Source organism: Homo sapiens, chromosome 7 (assembly GCF_000001405.40).
Source record: "Homo sapiens chromosome 7, GRCh38.p14 Primary Assembly".
Classification (NCBI taxonomy): domain Eukaryota; kingdom Metazoa; phylum Chordata; class Mammalia; order Primates; family Hominidae; genus Homo; species Homo sapiens.
Window position 1 is genome coordinate 131137738 of NC_000007.14, and position 17178 is coordinate 131154915.

At 41.4% G+C, this 17178-nt stretch overlaps 1 protein-coding gene across 2 annotated transcripts in view; it reads left to right on the top strand.

Annotated features, from left to right (window-relative positions):
- The window catches only part of MKLN1 (muskelin 1), a 386539-nt gene that overhangs the window by 27644 nt on the left and 341717 nt on the right, over positions 1 to 17178 (top strand). For both annotated transcript variants that reach the window (NM_001145354.2, XM_047420401.1), the window contains exon 2: positions 5083 to 5204. In NM_001145354.2, coding sequence (NP_001138826.1) covers positions 5176 to 5204 — 29 coding nt within the window. In that variant the 5' untranslated portion in view covers positions 5083 to 5175. The remainder of the gene's footprint in view (positions 1 to 5082; positions 5205 to 17178) is intronic.

The following is a 17178-nucleotide window of genomic DNA, read 5'->3' on the forward strand; positions in this document are numbered from 1 at the left end:
CTGATTTTTGTATTTTTAGTAGAGATGGGGTTTCACCATGTTGGCCAGGCTGGTCTTGAACTCCTGACCTCAGGTGATCCACCTGCCTAGGCCTCCCAAAGTGCTGGGATTACAAGTGTGAGCCACTGCACCCGGCCAGAACACATGAACATTTTGGTCCTTGTCTTGTCTTTTCTTTCTTTCTTTACTTTTTTTTTTTTTTTTTTTGACAGAGTTTCACTCTTCTTGCCCAGGCTGGAGTGCAATGGCGTGATCTCGGCTCACCGCAACCTCCGCCTCCCGGGTTCAAGTGATTCTCCTGCCTCAATCTCATGAGTAGCTGGGATTAAAGGCATGTGCCACCACGCCCAGCTAATTTTGTATTTTTAGTAGAGACAAGGTTTCTCCATATTGGTCAGGCTGGTCTCAAACTCCAAACCTCGGGTGATCTACCCACCTCTGCCTCTGCCTCCCAAAGTGCTGGGATTACAGGTGTGAGCCACTGCGCCTGGCCAGAACACATGAACATTTTGGTCCTTGTTATTTCTTTTAAGCAAAATATTTTTTCTTTTAAAATTGGAGCACAAGGTACACCTTAATAAATATGTTTATTTGAAGCATCATTTCATTATTCACGGTTTTTAAATTTTTCATAAAAAATTTTAAAAATAAACCAGCCGTAACACCTCTGAAGTGGAAGTTACACTGAACCAGGCATTTCATTTCCAGGTGCCTTGGTCTCTTTCATGCATAATTTGTAAAATGATAATAGCCCTTACTAGTATTTACATTGTAAAAGTGTTGTTACTGTAAATTAGATAGTCTAAAATGGGTTATGATGCCTTCTTTGAAAGACAAGCATTACACACAAATGAGGTATTATTATTTAGTTTTGCCTTTTCAAGCTCGTTAAATGAGAATTAGATGAAAACTCTGCTTTAAGCAATATTCAGCGGGTAAGTGACTATTGACTTGAGTGAAATGAAAAAAAAAATTCTTCAGCTGAAAACTCAGTTTGTACAGCCTTGCCTATCTGTGCACAGGCAGAAATAGTGTATTTATATGTGATGTTTACCAATGTTCTTTATCTCCTCTCTGTGCTATAATCAAAAACTGAAGACAGTTAAGCCTTTCAGTTCAGTCATTGTATGCGTCTTGGAAAACCTAAGTCATCTGGAATGATTACAACTTAGAAATAATGTTTCCACGAATCAAGTCATGCTGCTAGCTTTCTTACTGATTTAGGGCCTAAATTAACTGTGCCAGGCCTTCGCTTCCACTCCTGGTTCTTAGGATGGGGGACCTATTCCTGCAGTGTTTCAGGTTAGTTACCACTAAGGCCTATGTGCACCTCATTATCACCCCCAACCAGGCCCAGGGCTTTCCTATCTTCTTCCTGGAATACAGGGATAGGATGGCAGGAGAAGGGGTGTTTGGAAATAATATTTGAGGAATTGTGGATATCAGAAATTTCATGGGAAGGTCTGAGGTCTGAAACAGTACCCTGGGAGGATTCAGGGTAACAGAGAGCCGGTGGTGAGGGACCCATCCGTACAGCATCATTGTGGCCTCTGTGTGGTCTATTGGCTCTAACCCATTTTTGGCCCCTGCTCTTGGACTCCCCCCGTCCCTCCCCTCTCATTCAAACCCCTTCTGGTGTCCATCCATTAGGCCTTGACTCACCTTCGCTCCCCAGGGCCAACCTTCAGCATTGCTTGCAGTTATAGTCATCTGCTTTCCACCTGACCCATTTATTTTGGCTTCTGGATTTTGCTCCTAGAGAGGCCCCCTGCTTGGATAGCTGCCTGGCCAGCTGCAGAGCCAGCTGTTTGTTCCAGACTCCAAGGTGACTACACTCCTCTCTTCTCCCTCTGACTGGTCCTGATACATGGGCTGTGACAAGAAGTGAGAGATAGTGACAGTGTGACAATTGTGTCAGAACAGATTCATCCCTCTGTAGGTCATCTCAGCAGTGGACTGCTCAGAGTTCAGGTACACATTCATGCTTCACAGTGGGCCATGGACCAGGAAGTCTGTGTGGACCTCAGAGGCCTAGGGACAGGGGTGGGTACAGAAGAAGAGTTAGGAGGAGGACACAAAAGGCTAATTTGGTTTGCTCTGCAGTTTTGGCCAAGACCAGTACTGGTTTTTGGGCTACTGTTCAACAGACAGGCCATGTCCTTCAAGAGCATTGGCAGGAGGTCAGCTGAGCTGACACGCAGGTGGTAAGGGACCTCAGAGATCCTCTGAGGTGAGCCTAATGGTGGCCCACCTTCCTTGCCCTTGCAAGGAAATTTAGGGATTATGTCTTCCACTTTTAAGGCAAACTTTTTGAAACAGGTGTCTGCATCCATTGGTTCCATTTACTCTTCAACTCACTCTGACCTGACTGCTGCCTCCCCGGACCCTGCTCTCTGCCAAACTGGTCAGATATCTCCATGGTACTCACCTGTGGGTGCTTCTTAGTCTTTTTCTTGCTCGATCTCTTGATAGCATTTGCCTTTGTGGACCACAGCCTACTCCTTGAAACATGCTTTTCCCTTGTTCTCTGGATACCTCACAATTCTTTTTTCCCTACCTCACTGGCTACACCTTCTCGCTCTTTTTTTCAGGGGTCCTTTCTCTGCTCATGTCATATAGCTTGGATATTTGTGTCCTCCAAACCTCATGTTGAAATTTCATCCCCAGCATTGGAGGTGGGGCCTGGTGGGAGGTGTTTGGATCATGGGGGTGGATCCCTCATGAATGGCTTGGTGCCTTTCTTGCTGTGATGAGTGAGTTCTCGCTCTATTAGTTCACATGAACACTGATGTTCAAAAGAGCAACACCTCCTCTTCTCACTCGTGCTCTCTCTCTGGCCATGTCATGTGACATGCCTGGTCCCCTTCACCTTCTGCCGTGAGTAAAAGCTTCCTGAGATCTTGCCAGAAGCAGATATGACTGCCATGCTTCTTATACGGCCTGCAGAACTGTGAGCCAAATAAACCTTTTTTCTTTAGAAATTACCCAGCTTCAGGCATTCCTTTTAAGCAACACAGAATGAACTAACACACCATCCTTTTTTTTTTTGTTTTGTTTTCTGAGACAGAGTCTCGCTTTGTCGCCCAGGCTGGAGGGCAGTGGCACGATCTTGGCTCACTGCAATCTCCGCCTCCCAGGTTCAAGCAATTCTTCTGTCTCAGCCTCCCGAGTAGCTGGGACTATAGGCGCGTGCCACCATGCCTGGCTAATTTTTTTGTCTGTATTTTTAGTAGAGATGGGGCTTCACCGTGTTAGCCAGGATGGTCTCCATCTCCTGATCTCGTGATCCACCCACCTTGGCCTCCCAAAGTGCTGGGATTACAGGTGTGAGCCACTGTACCTGGCCTACACCATCCTTTATTTAAGCTTTGGTGTTATTCTGTCTTCTCTCTTTTTCTCTGCTCCTACACACCCTCCCAGGGCATCTCATTCATCGCTGTGAAGTCTCTTGTTGTCTGTCATGTATAGATGACTCCTAAATGGATATCCTCCGATTTCTAGATCAAACTGCTTGCTGTTGCTCTGAATGTTCCCCAGTCATCACAAAACAAACACGTCAAAGGCTTAACTCAGCACCTTCTCTCCAAAATCTCCTCAATTTCCTCTTCATATTTTTGCTGTCTTAGTGAATGATATCCACTATCCACCAAGTTGTCTAAGTCAAAAACCTGATCTCCAGTCCGGACTTTGCCCTCTTCAAAACTCCAACATGTAATCTATCACGACTTTCAGTAGATTCTACCTCCTCGAGAATGTGGCTTGTACATTTCTCCATAATTTGGTGCTGCTCACCTTTCCAGTCTCATCTCTGACCACTCTGAGACTCTCTAAACTACTTTTAGTACTCACATACTCAGCATGCATAATCATTCATGTTCTTTCCAAAATGTACGTATGTTGTGCCCTCCACCCAAAACAGACTTCCCCACCTCTTTATTTGGTTAACTCCTTCACACCTTGTAAGTGTCTGTGTACAAGTCACTAACTTCCAATTTTCCCTAAATCTGGGTTAGGTTACCTCCTAGGGCTCTCAGTACTTATCTCTTCATAACACGCTTCTCTATCACAGCTGACTTTCCTGTTTCTACCGTGCCCTGTCCTGTGAGGTTCCTGTAAGTGCTTACGGGGACCTTATTTTTTCTATTCACCTTTGTATTCCTAACACCAACAAAGTATTTGGTACAAAAAACAGATGCTCAAGAAATGAATGAATGTGAATGTCAAAGGTATCATTGTGAAAATATAAATTAAATTTCCGGCTGGGTGTGGTGGCTCACAACAGTAATCCCATCACTTTGGGAGGCCAGGGCAGCAGGGTTGCTGCAGCCCAGGAGTTTGAGACCAGCCTGGGCAACATGGCAAGTCTCTCTCTACAAAAACAAAAAAAAGGCAGGGCACGGTGGCTCACGCCTGTAATCCCAACACTGGGAGGTCGAGGTGGGCAGATCACCTGAGGTCAGGAGTTTGAGACCAGCCTGGCCAAAATGGCAAAACCCTGTCTCTACTAAAAATACAAGAAACACATTAGCCAGATGTGGTGGTGTGTGCCTGTAATTCCAGCTACTCGGGGGGCTGAAGCAAGAGAATCGCTTGAATCTGGGAGGCGGAGCTTGCAGTGAGCCAAGATCGCGCCACTGTACTTCAGCCTGGGTGACAGAGCGAGACTCCATTTCAAAAAAAAAAAATTAAAATGATAATAATAATTTAAAAAAATTAGGCCGGTCGCGGTGGCTCATGCCTGTAATCCCAGCACTTTGGGAGGCCGAGACGGGCGGATCACAAGGTCAGGAGATCGAGATCATCCTGGTTAACACGGTGAAACCTCGTCTCTACTAAAAATACAAAAAATTAGCTGGGCGTGTAGGCGGGCGCCTGTAGTCCCAGCTACTCGGGAGGCTGAGGCAGGAGAATGGCGTGAACCCGGGAAGCAGAGCTTGCAGTGAGCTGAGATCGCCCCACTGCACTCCAGCCTGGGCAACAGAGCAAGACTATGTCTCAAAAGAAAACAAAAAAGGAATTGCAAGCAGAGGGCAATTAATAGAGGTAGACTTCACATCTGTCCCTTGTGGGCTTCTTTTCCAGAGTTCCATATCCAGACTCTCAAACCATGTTTTGGGATCATCCAAACATTCCATCCTCCTGACTCCATAAACTATTGGATTCATAACCTGCTCCATGCTTGAAAACATGGGGATTGGAATTCGGTAAGTGTTGATGTTTTAGTTTTTTCTTTCTTTAGTTGTCAAAAAAGTACTGTACCTATATAGTAATGCTTTTCAAATTCTTCTCTCTGGAGTCTTCATCAGAAGATGTGACTGGAGTCCTCACTAGTCTAGTTGTTTTCACAATGTTTGAATATGCTATGTGTACAAAGAAATGTTGTGAAGTCTTCTGAGGAATTCCATCCTTTCACATTTTCTCCTCTGTTTCATGAGTATTTAAATTCTTTGGCTGGGCGCAGTGGCTCATGTCTGTAATCCCAGCACTTTGGGAGGCCGAGGCCGGCAAATCACGAGGTCAGGAGTTCGAGACCAGCCTGGTTAACATGGTGAAACCCCATCTCTACTAAAAATACAAAAAATTGCTGGGCATGGTGGCAGGTGCCTGTAATTCCGCTACTTGGGAGGTTGAGGCAGGAGAATCGCTTGAACCCAGGAGGCAGAAGTTGCAGCGAGCCAAGATCGTGCCACTGCATGCCAGCCCAGGCGACAGTGCGAGACTCCATCTCAAAAAAAAGAAAAAATTCTTCATCATTGCTCTATTGATATTTTCTAAAGTGACTTCACATAGAGAAAAGTGGATTTTTGGCTGGGCACAGTAGCTCATGCGTGTAATCCTAGTGTTTTGGAAGGCCAAGGCAGAAGGATTGCTTGAGGCTGGAAATCCAAGATCAGCCTGGGCAACATAGCAAGACCCCATCTCTACAAAAATTTAAAAATTATCTAGGACTACAGGTGGCATGTGCCTATAGACCCAGCTACTTGGGAGGCTGAGGCAGGAGGATCACTTGAGACCAGGAGTTCAAGGCTGCAGTGAGCCATGATCACAACACTGCACTCTAGCCTAGGCAACAGAGCAAGACCTTATCTCAAAAAAAATAAAAATAAAAATAAAAGTGGATTTTGAGAATCAGAAAGACTTGCTGCCCACTCTGGGCCAGTTTAATAATGCAGGACATGTGTAGTTCAACCATACTCCAAAAACAACTCTGTTTTAGCCATACTGCCTATCGTCAACCCCACTGCATCCCCACTGTCAAATTTCTCTAGCCCCATAACTGATTTTGTTTTTCATAACACTTCTTTGTTTGTTGTCTACCTCCTTTCCTAGAATGTAAGCATTATGAGGGCAGGCAATTTTTTTGTTCAGCACTAGATGCTCAGCACTTGGAACAGTAACTGGTACACAGAAGGCACTCAGTAAATATTTTTTGATTGAATGAATGATGTATTTTAAAAGTTTTTCTTTTGGCCGGGCTCAGTGGCTCACACCTATAATCCCAGCACTTTGGGAGGCTGAGGCGGGCGGATCATGAGGTCAGGAGATCGAGACCATCCTGTGAAACCCCGTCTCTACTAAAAAAAAATACAAAAAATTAGCCGGGCGTGGTGGTGGGCGCCTGTAGTCCCAGCTACTCGGGAGGCCAAGGAAGGAGAATGGCATGAACCTGGGAGGCGGAACTTGCAGTGAGCCAAGATCATGCCACTGCACTCCAGCCTGGGTGACAGAGCAGGACTGTGTCTCAAAAAAAAAAAAAAAGTTTTTCTTTTTAATTTTTATACTTTTAAAAATAGAGATGAGGTTTTGCTATGTTACCCAGGCTGGTCTTGAACTCCTGGCCTCAAGCAATCCTCCTGCCTCAACCTCCCAAAGCGCTGGGGTTACAAGTACATTTTTGAGCCACCACACCTGGCCCTTGTGTTTTGTTTGTTTTTTTCTTTTTAAAGAGGCTGATGCAGGCCGGGTACAGTGGCTCACACCTGTAATCTCAGCACTTTGAGAGGGCGAGGTGGGCGGATCACCTGAGATCAGGAGTTCAAGACCAGCCTGACCAACGTGGAGAAACCCCGTGTCTACTAAAAATACAAAATTAGCCAGGCGTGGTGGCACACGCCTGTAATCCCAGCTACTCAGGAGGCTGAAGCAGGAGAATCGCTTGAACCCGGTAGGCAGAAGTTGCAGTGAGCCAAGATTGCACCATTGCACTCCAGCCTGGGCAACAGGATTGAAACTCCATCCCCCAACCAGCAACAACAACCACAACAACAACAACAACAACAACAAAGAGGCTGATGCATATTCGGATCTCCAGGGATCTAATGAAAATCTGCTTTTTCCCCGAACACTTATATCGATGACTAAGACAATAACATTGATGGCCTGCCGAACAAATTTACAGATGACACACACTAGAAAGAATTACAAATAGGTTGGAGGATACAATCAGATTCTCTCCCCACCCCCAATCCTGACAAAATGTAATAATGAATCATATCAAACAATATAGAGTTTAATGTGTACCAATATAAAGTACTCAAAGATCCTCGAATTGTACAGGTACTGAGTGGGGGCGAGGTGGCTTACAGCTACACACGGCACGAAGATTTACAGTCTCCTGTTGATTGTAAGAAGATGAGTCAACACAGTGGGATGTAGCTTTAAAAAAAAATCAATCTTTTGTTGTATTAATAGAAATGTAACGTTCGAGAGGGGAACTAGTTCTCTAGTACTCACTGATGATCAGACCACATTTATTGTGTTTTATGAATTCTGGGCTTCAGACATTCAGAGACATTGATCAACAAAGGATTATATGGGAAAAATAAAAATGATAATAAGAAATCTGGTGCACAGAGTTATTCAGAAATAACAAAAAGATCCAAGGTTTTATGTAGGTGTGTAAGGGGGATGGTGATAACTAGCATATGTAGCTACCTTTCAAAGTTTGAGGTCTATCCGGCAGAGGAGAGATTTGATCTCTTCTGGGTAATCCCAAATGGCAGATTGAGGGCCAATGAGTGGAGATGTAAGCACGTACATTTCAACCCATTAACATTGGTCAACTGTTAGATTTGCCTAGCAGACAAATGGACAACCACTGGAGGTAGTAAATTCCCTGACCCTGGTGCCCGGAAGTGGGGCAGTCATGCCCCATTCACTGGGTACATTTGTGACAGAAGTTCAAACACTAGAGTGAGGAAGTGAGGAGAATAGATTTGTTTATAATAGCAAACACATAGTGAGTGTGTACTGTATGGCAAACACCATAATACGTGATTAATGAGGTTGTCATTTCTAATACATCAATCCCACTAGCTCATTTTACAGATGAGAAAGTGAGGCTTAGAGGGATTAAGCAATTTGCCCAAGGTCTTACACCTTGGTACAAAGCAGATCTAGGATTTGAACCCAGGCAGTCAGATCCCAAACCTTAATTATTATTCTATGAGGACCCTAAGGTGGGCATGGTGGTACACGCTTATAGTCCCAGATACTGGGGAGGCTGAGGCAGGAGAATCACTAGAATCCAGGAGTTCAAGACTGCAGTGAGCTATGATCATGCCACTGCACTCCAGCTTGGGCATCAGAGCGAGACATTGTCTCTAAAATAAGTAAATAAAAATAAAAGTAAAGTATAAGGACTTTCACTTCTAGAAAGCCGTTCTTTCCCACCTTGAGATCCTATCACTCTAATGAAATAATCAAACCGAGGAGTTTATCTCAAAGGGTGGATGATTCTATAGTACATAGATTCCCTCTATATGTAATATGCAGGAACTGTATTAGTCTGGCCATTTGCCACTTGGGTATACTGTATGGAGCCCAGCATAGGACTTGGCACACAGTAGGTGCTTGCTAATTATTTATTAAGTGAAAAGAATGAACAAATGCAACAAATACAACATTGGCGGGATCTGAAATGACAGAACCTCAATATATTGTGCCTGAAGAAAAGCACATTTCTGGGTGGTCTACTGAGGACCCTCAGCAAAAGTGATAATCCGTCACTCCCGGCAAAGGCCTTGAGAATTCCTGTGCAATTGTTTGAACAATATTCATTTAAACAAATATTTATTGAATACTGGTCCTGTACCAGGTATGTCCAATGTGTGAAGGATGCAGAGGTGAATTGGAGGATGTGCTGTCAGTGGGGGAGAAGACAGGTGGGCAAATCCTTACAGTACCTTGTGACAAATGCTATAGCAGTTGCGTGTATGTTTTTTAAGTATGATGGAAGCAAAGAACAGAAAGGAAATGATTCTGCTAGGTTAAAGGAGTCATCTGATATTTGATTATGTTTTATTTATTTATTTACTTTTATTATTATTAATTTTTTTTGAGATAGGGTCTCCCTCTGTTGCCCAGGCTGGAGTGCAATGGCACAGTCTCAGCAACCTTCATCTCCTGGGTTCAAGCGATTCTTCTCCCTCAGCCTCCCAAGTAGCTGGGATTACAGGCGCCTGCCACCACACCCAGCTATTTTTTTTTTTTTTTTGTATTTTTAGTAGAGACAGGGTTTCACCATGTCATGCTAGTCTTGAACTCCTGACCTCAGGTGATCCACCCGCCTCGACCTCCCAAAGGGCTGGGATTATAGGTGTGAGCCACTGCCCCCAGCCGTTGATGATGTCTTAAAAATAGCTTCCACATGTATGTTACTTGAGTTTATTCAGTCTTCATAAAGACCATGTGAGATTGTGACCCCTTCTTGTACAGAAGATGAAATAGAGTCTTACAGAGCTTAGGTGAGCTCCCCAGGGTCATATAGCTAGTAATAATAATTGCCCACATTGATTGAGTGTTTAGAATATCTGCGACTCTGTTCTAAACCATCTTAAGACATTTAATCTTCTAAGGTAGTTATTGACATCATCACCATTTTATAAATAAGAAAACCAAGTCACAAGATTTAAGAGACTTGCCTACAGTCACATAGCTAGAAAGTGGAAAACCAGGATTTCCACCCACACAGTCTGACTTTAGCAGGCAGACACTGATCCACTGCACTAAATTGCCTTGTCTGGTTCCCCAAAGAGCTGGAACTGACACACTTGGACTCTGATTCCAAGTTCAGTTCTCTTTCAAGTGACCCTGCTCATTAGCAGATACTGCATCCAAATGAGAAGAAATGGTCATGTGGATACAAGGAGGCTTGTGTAGTTCCTGCATCTGTGGTATGGTGCTGTGGTGGGAGGGCTATGGTGAAGTCTGTAACATGCATGAACTTAAGCACTGACAAGCATTATGGCATAAGCTTTAGATTTTCTATGTTTTAGGTATTCAGGGTTTTTTCAGGGCAGTCAGATTTTTTTCTTTCGTTTTGTTTTTGAGACAGAGTTTCGCTCTGTTGCCCTGGCTGGAGTGCAGTGGCATAATTATGGGTCACTGTAACCTGGAACTCTTGGGCTCAAGTCATCCTCCCGCCTCAGCTTCTCGAAGAGCTGGGATTACAGGCATGAACTACCACATCTGCAGAATTTGGCCTGTTCTCCAGGCCAGCATCCTAGGCTCTATGGACTATGACTTGTTACTCATAGGAACTAGCCACCAACACTTACCCTGCAGCCTTTTGGCTGGTTTAAATTTTTCTAAAAAGAAGACAAGACATAAAACATTAAGAATGAAACAAGTTAAATTCAATACCTATATATTAACAGGAATGGAATACCGAAATGGAGAAATAAAGCACATAATTGTTTAAATTGCCCAGCTTTCTCTCCATAATAAAAATTATTGGATTGAAAAACCATTCAGGGATGGACACGGTGACTCATGCCTGTTCTCCCAACACTTTGGGAGGTCAAGGTGGGAGGATCACTTGAGCCCAGGGGTTTGAGACCAGCCTGGGCAACATAGCGAGACCCTGTCTCTAAAAAAATTTAGAATTAGCCAGGCGTGGTGGTGCACAGCTGTAGTCCCAGCTACTTGGGAGGCTGAAGTGGAAGAATCACTTGAACCCCAGGAGGTCAAGGCTGCAGTGAGCCACGATTGTGCAACTACACTCCAGCTTGGGTGACAGGGTGAGACCCAGTCTCCAAAGAAAAAAGAAGAAAAAGAAAAATAGTTCAATCTAATATTATTGTGCCTTAACAATTAAGTTGGTCTGGCTCTGTGGCGAATCTGAGAAAGAATTGGTTTTTAAAACGAATGAAGGAGTTTCCTTCTTCTTTAATAATTACTACTTATATTAATGTGGACATGACCTATATGATCGAAGATATTGTGTCTTTAAAATGGCCATCTCTCAGAATTTTTGGAGATTTGGTCATTTTAAAATCAGTCGCAGGCTCGGATTTCTGGGGCAGGCGGTGGGGCAGAAAAGGTCAGTGTTGTTTGGTATTCAACGCAGGTGGGGTTTTGGTATGGCTTGGTTTTTGGCATTTTGTTTTGCCATTTATGGAGATTTAGTAGATTCAACTGATTATCTTGGCCTTTGTGTTTGTGGATTTCTATTTTCTTGGCTTCAGTTCCTTGGAAACGTTTGTTTTGATGGTGGCAGGAGAGCTGGTTTAGTCATGTTTTATTTTTGTTGTTCCTATTTATTTCTAATATCCTTTACTTCAAGTCCACTTACAAAGTATCATGTAACCTGTCTTTATGTCTCCACAAATGAAATGTTCCTAGTAGCAACTCTAGTGTAACCTTATAGGAATAGTTAATTTGATGCCCATCGAGATGGTTCTGTAGTATTAGAACAAGGGTATGTTTTGGAAATTATGTTTGAAATTTATCATTGGATTTAGCATTTAGCAAATGAAATTTCAAGTGTCTGAGATCAACAAGTAGCCATATTCATATAAACATATTTTCCTTTTCATTGCTGAGTCAACAAAAGTTGGAAAATTATTTTCTCACACATATTCCATTCTTCAACTAAACCTGAAGGTAAATTACTTTTAAAAACCACATTCCAAACAAACAGTTTTTCATAAAGCTATGAGTACATGAATAGAGTGGGCCCCACTGGCATTTGGGATGTACATGTAATTAGAACTCTCAGTTTTTCAAACATGTAATTTACTACAGTTGAGGTTTTTAATTCTTAACTTTGAGTCCATTGGGATGAAACAAGTGACCCTTGTTGGAAGTATGTCAAGAATCAACTTTCTCAGGTTGACCTTTAGTTTGCTGGTCATCAAATTAAAACACTGTGTATTCCCAGGCTTGAAGATGTTGGAAGCTTCCTAAGTTTGTTAAAAGATCAAGGCAGAAGGCTAGCGCTGCTTTGCTGCTGTGAAGAACAGACTTCCCTCTTCCTTCTCCTTTAAGTTGGTTTCTGCCTGAGAGAGAGCATGCTCCACCTCAGCTGGCCCCGTCTTTGCTCTGATAGTTGCCTTGTACTTGTTTTCGCAACTAGATAGATGTCTATCATCCTTTGAACTGATTTGACATCCTTTCTAGTACAAGGCTCAGTACTAGGCACCAAGGACTGTTACAAACGCTCTCAATCACCATTGTTCATAACTTAAAAGTGGCAACAAAATCTGGAATAACTCAATGACTGCGTGACCTTGAGCAAGCAACTTAATCTCTCTCTAAAATAATGATTTCAAGCCTAGGCAACATGGCAAAACCCTGTCTCTACAAAAAATACACAAATTAGCTGGGCATGGTGGTATGCACCTGTAGTCCCAGCTACTAAGGAGGCTGAAGTGAAAGGATCCCCTGAGCCCAGGAGGTCAAGACTGCAGTGAGCTATGATGGCACCACTGCACTCCAGCTTGGGTGACAGATGAAGACCCTGTCTCAAACAAACAAACAAACAAACAAACAATAATAAAATAGCTATTTCACAAAGTCATTGTACTAAACACTTGGGATTGCATATGAAAATACTTAGCACAAAGCTTGGAACATAATTGCAAGTGTAGATTGAGTTTATGTGCAGTATATAATAATCCATGGAAACTCAAATGGACAGATGGACCCAAATCAAAATTGTCTGCTTCTAGCCATTTGTTAAATCAAAGCTTCACTTTCAAATGAATAACTAAATCTACCCATGATTTCTCTTTAAAGTCTACATTCAGAGCAAAAAAGTGCTTCCATGATAATCTGTTCATAGATTTCATAACAGGAGCTGACGAGGGTTTATTTAGGAGAAAACGTGAACAAGCAGAAGAAGGAAGATTAGATAAATAAAATGTCTTTCAAAATAAATGAAGAAGGGACAATTATCTGATAATAGAACATTCAGATGGTGATGTAATTATAAAATAGACTTGTTTTTGTAAGTGGTTTAAAAAATGTTTATTGACCTTAAAGGAATAACTTTTTCATAATTGAATGATAAAACATGCAGTATCTTGTATTAACTAGTAATAAACTACAAATATCCGTTAACTATATTTTTCTTTAAGTGCATCTGCTGTCATGGCCTTACATTTATTTCAGTGATACAAAAAGAGTGATTTGATTTGATAACTGCCTGTCCTCTCTGCATATCCGAAAATCGGAAGGAGCAGCCTTCCCTCTGACTCACTTAGCTGTGAAAATAGGACTCTGCCAAATTACTGGGAACTAACACTGTAGTAAAACCATAAGAAAATTTTGCTAAGAAACCTTTTCTCATCTGCAAATTACTTGACTGAAACCTGAGGTGCTGGATTTCAGCACAAAGGTGACTTTGGAGGGGAAATTTTGTGCCAAACTGGATCTGTTGTTTTTGTGTTATGTAAAAAGGAGAAAAAAAATGAACTGTTTACTCCTAAGCTATAAATTTAAGATTATCCTATTACACCAAATGACAGAATTTCCGAACCTCAAACCTTACTTTAGAGCTATATTTTCATAAACTATGATCTGTACCCAATCAAAACTAGATGTAATTGAATGTTAAATAATTAGCCTTGCCCAATTATATTTAAAGAGTACTGGACAAAGTTATTTTATTCACTGCATCAGAAGTGAATTATAGTTGAATTGCAGAAATGGCAATACATGTGCAGTATAAAAATATAGAATACAGAGTAGTAAAAAGAAGAAAATAAAAATCACCAAGTCACCCATAATTCTATCACTCAGAGATATCATCATTAAAATTTTGTTTTAAATTTATGCACGCATACAAACACACACATGCACACTCATACACACACCAGAATATTCACGATATATAAATGCATGTTAATGGTTTATTATAGAAAAGTGAAACATAAGGAAAAGTAGACAGAAAGCATAAAGGACCCCATGTCAAGTTGGACCTCATGTCTAGCCCATCAATATCCCATTCCTCTCCCCATCTCATTTTATTTTGAAGCAAGTTCCAGATATTATATTATTTCATCCATAAATTTTGATATGGCTGGGTGTGGTGGCTCATTCCTATAATCCCAACACTTTCAGAGGCTGGGGCAGGAGGATCACTTGAGGCCATTAGTTTGAGCCCAGCCTGGTCTACATAGCAAGACTTTGCCTCTACAAAAAATTAAAAAATTAGCTGTATGTGGTGGTGAGTGCCTATAATCCCAACTACCAGGAGAATAAGGTGGGAGGATCATTTGAGCCCAGGAGTTCAAGACTGCAGTGAGCTACAATTGTGCCACTGTACTCCAGCCTGGGTGACAGACTGAGACCCTGTCTAAAATGTATATATTTCAATATGAATCTTTAAAAGATAAGGACTTGTAAAAAACATAACCATTATCATATCTACATTAACTAATACAATTTTTTAGTAGTATGAAATATTCAGTGTTGGAATTTTAAATTGTCTTACAAATTTTATAACTTACTTTTGTTGTTGTTGTTGTTTCTTTTTTTCTTTTTTTTTTTTTTTGGAGACGGAGTCTCGCTCTGTCACCCGGGCTGGAGTGCAGTGGCATGATCTTGGCTCACTGCAACCTCCACCTCCTGGGGTCAAGCGATTCTCCTGCCTTAGCCTCCCGAGTAGCTGAGATTACAGGCACGCTCCACCATGCTCGGCTAATTTTTATATTTTTAGTACAGACAGGGTTTCACCATGTTGGCCAGGGTGCTCTCGAACTCCTGACCTCGTGATCCACCCTGCTCGGCCTCCCAAAGTATAACTTACTTTTGTAGTTTGCTTGTTGAAGCAAGATCCAAATAAGGTTCATACACTGAAGTTGGTTGATATGTCCCTTAAATCTCTTTTAATTTAAATCCCTTAAATCTCTTTTAATTTCATTTTTTTCCTCATAACTTATTTGTTGCAAAAACCAAGTTGTTTGTCCTGTAGAACTTCCCACAGTCTGGATGTTTCTGATTGCATTCCTATGATATAGCTCAACATGTTCCTCTGTACAGGCTTAATCAGATTCATATATATATATATATTTTTTTTTTTTTTGGCAAGACTGCTTCCTAGGGAGTGGAGTATTTTGCCATTAGGTGGTACATAAAAATCTCTTCTTTTGTGATGTTACCTAGATCCATTAGTTCATTAAGGATTGTAAAAATGGTAATATTTTAATCCTATCATTCCTTAAGTTGATTTTTTGGCATGTGCCAATGGTGTTTGCTTTGTCTTATTTTTAAGTAACTTTTGTTTTCTCTATTGTAATTATAATTTGAACTCATTCATTGAAATGTATTTAATGTGCTTCTGTACATATTATTTATTATTCTTATTAATGCTTAAATTATCCTCATTGGTCTGTGATAGCATCTTCAAATTGGTTCCTGACATCTTTTGACTCAACCCAAGCAGTTTTTGATAGCTTTCCTGCTATTTGGTACAAGATGGCATAGGCTCATCTTGAATATTTCCACATAGTAGAAATTACTTATATTTAAGATGTGAATATATATACATATAATACAAAACCTTAGGGCAGAAACTATTTATGATACCAAAAGAGTAGAAATAACCCCAATGTCTATTAATGGAGGACTGGTTGAATAAACTATGATACCTACACACAATGGAGTCTGTGTAGCTACAAAATGAAAGTAGGTTTTTTTTGGTTTTTTTTTTTTTTTTGAGAAGGAGTCTTGCTCTGTTGCTGAGGCTAGAGTGCAGTGGCACTATCTTGGCTCACTGCAACCTCCGCCTCCTGGGTTCAAGTGATTCTCCTGCCTCAGCTTCCTGAGTAGCTAGGATTACAGGCGTGCACCACCATGCTTAGCTAATTTTTGTATTTTTAGTAGAGATGGGGTTTCACCAGGCTGGCCAGGCTGGTCTTGAACTGCTGACTTCAGGCAATCTGCCTGCCTTGGCCTCCCAAAGTACTGGGATTATAGGCATGAGCCACTGCACCTGGCCAGAAGTAGGATCTTTAAATATATTTATTATGGATTGATCTGTAGGATATATTACAAAAAAATGGGGGGAGGAATGTGAGTCTACGATGCTACCATACAGGTCAGAAGGGATATATATGTAAATGTATATACATACACGCATATATGCATGCATACACACACATATGTAAATACATTTGCTTATATTAGAAAACAAAGAATAGGAGGATTCACATCACAAAATATTAATAGTAGTTACCTGTAAAAAATGGAGGAAAGAAAGTGGAGGGGATAGGGATAGAAACTAGACTTCTTAGAATTCACCTTGTTTTGTAGATTTGACTTTGGCCAGGCTGGTCTCGAACTCCTAACCTCAGATGATCCACCCGCCTTGGCCTCCCAAAGTGCCGAGATTACAGGTGTGAGCCACCGCCCCGGCCTAATTGTGGTAATTCTAATCTTACTATGCCTGCTGTCCTTGAGAAGCAGGATTCTCAGCATGAGAGGAAGGGAATATAGATGTAACATGGAGGAGGTTAGGCAGAAATCCTGTGGTCCTGAATTTGAATTGAGAGTTGATATAAATTTAGGGTGTCTATGTACATGTATAGACATGTCTCCTAGGTCCTCTGTTCACTGAAAAACCTAGACACAATGACTAAGCCAGAAGCAATGAGCACTCTTGTTATCTATATTATGATATGATATATGATATACATACACATGTATCATAAATATATATTCATATATACATAAATTCCATGTATGTGTAGCATCAATTATTTAGCTATTCTTCTATTTCTGGTCATTTAGATGTTCCCAATTCTTTACACTTATATATAATAAGTGTGGCAAAGCAATTGTGTATTTATCATTTCCTTCATACACTTTTTTGTAAGTAGAATTACCCGACTAGAGGGTAGGAACATGTTTAAACTCTTGATTAGTTTTGTCAGATCACCTCCAGAAAGGTTA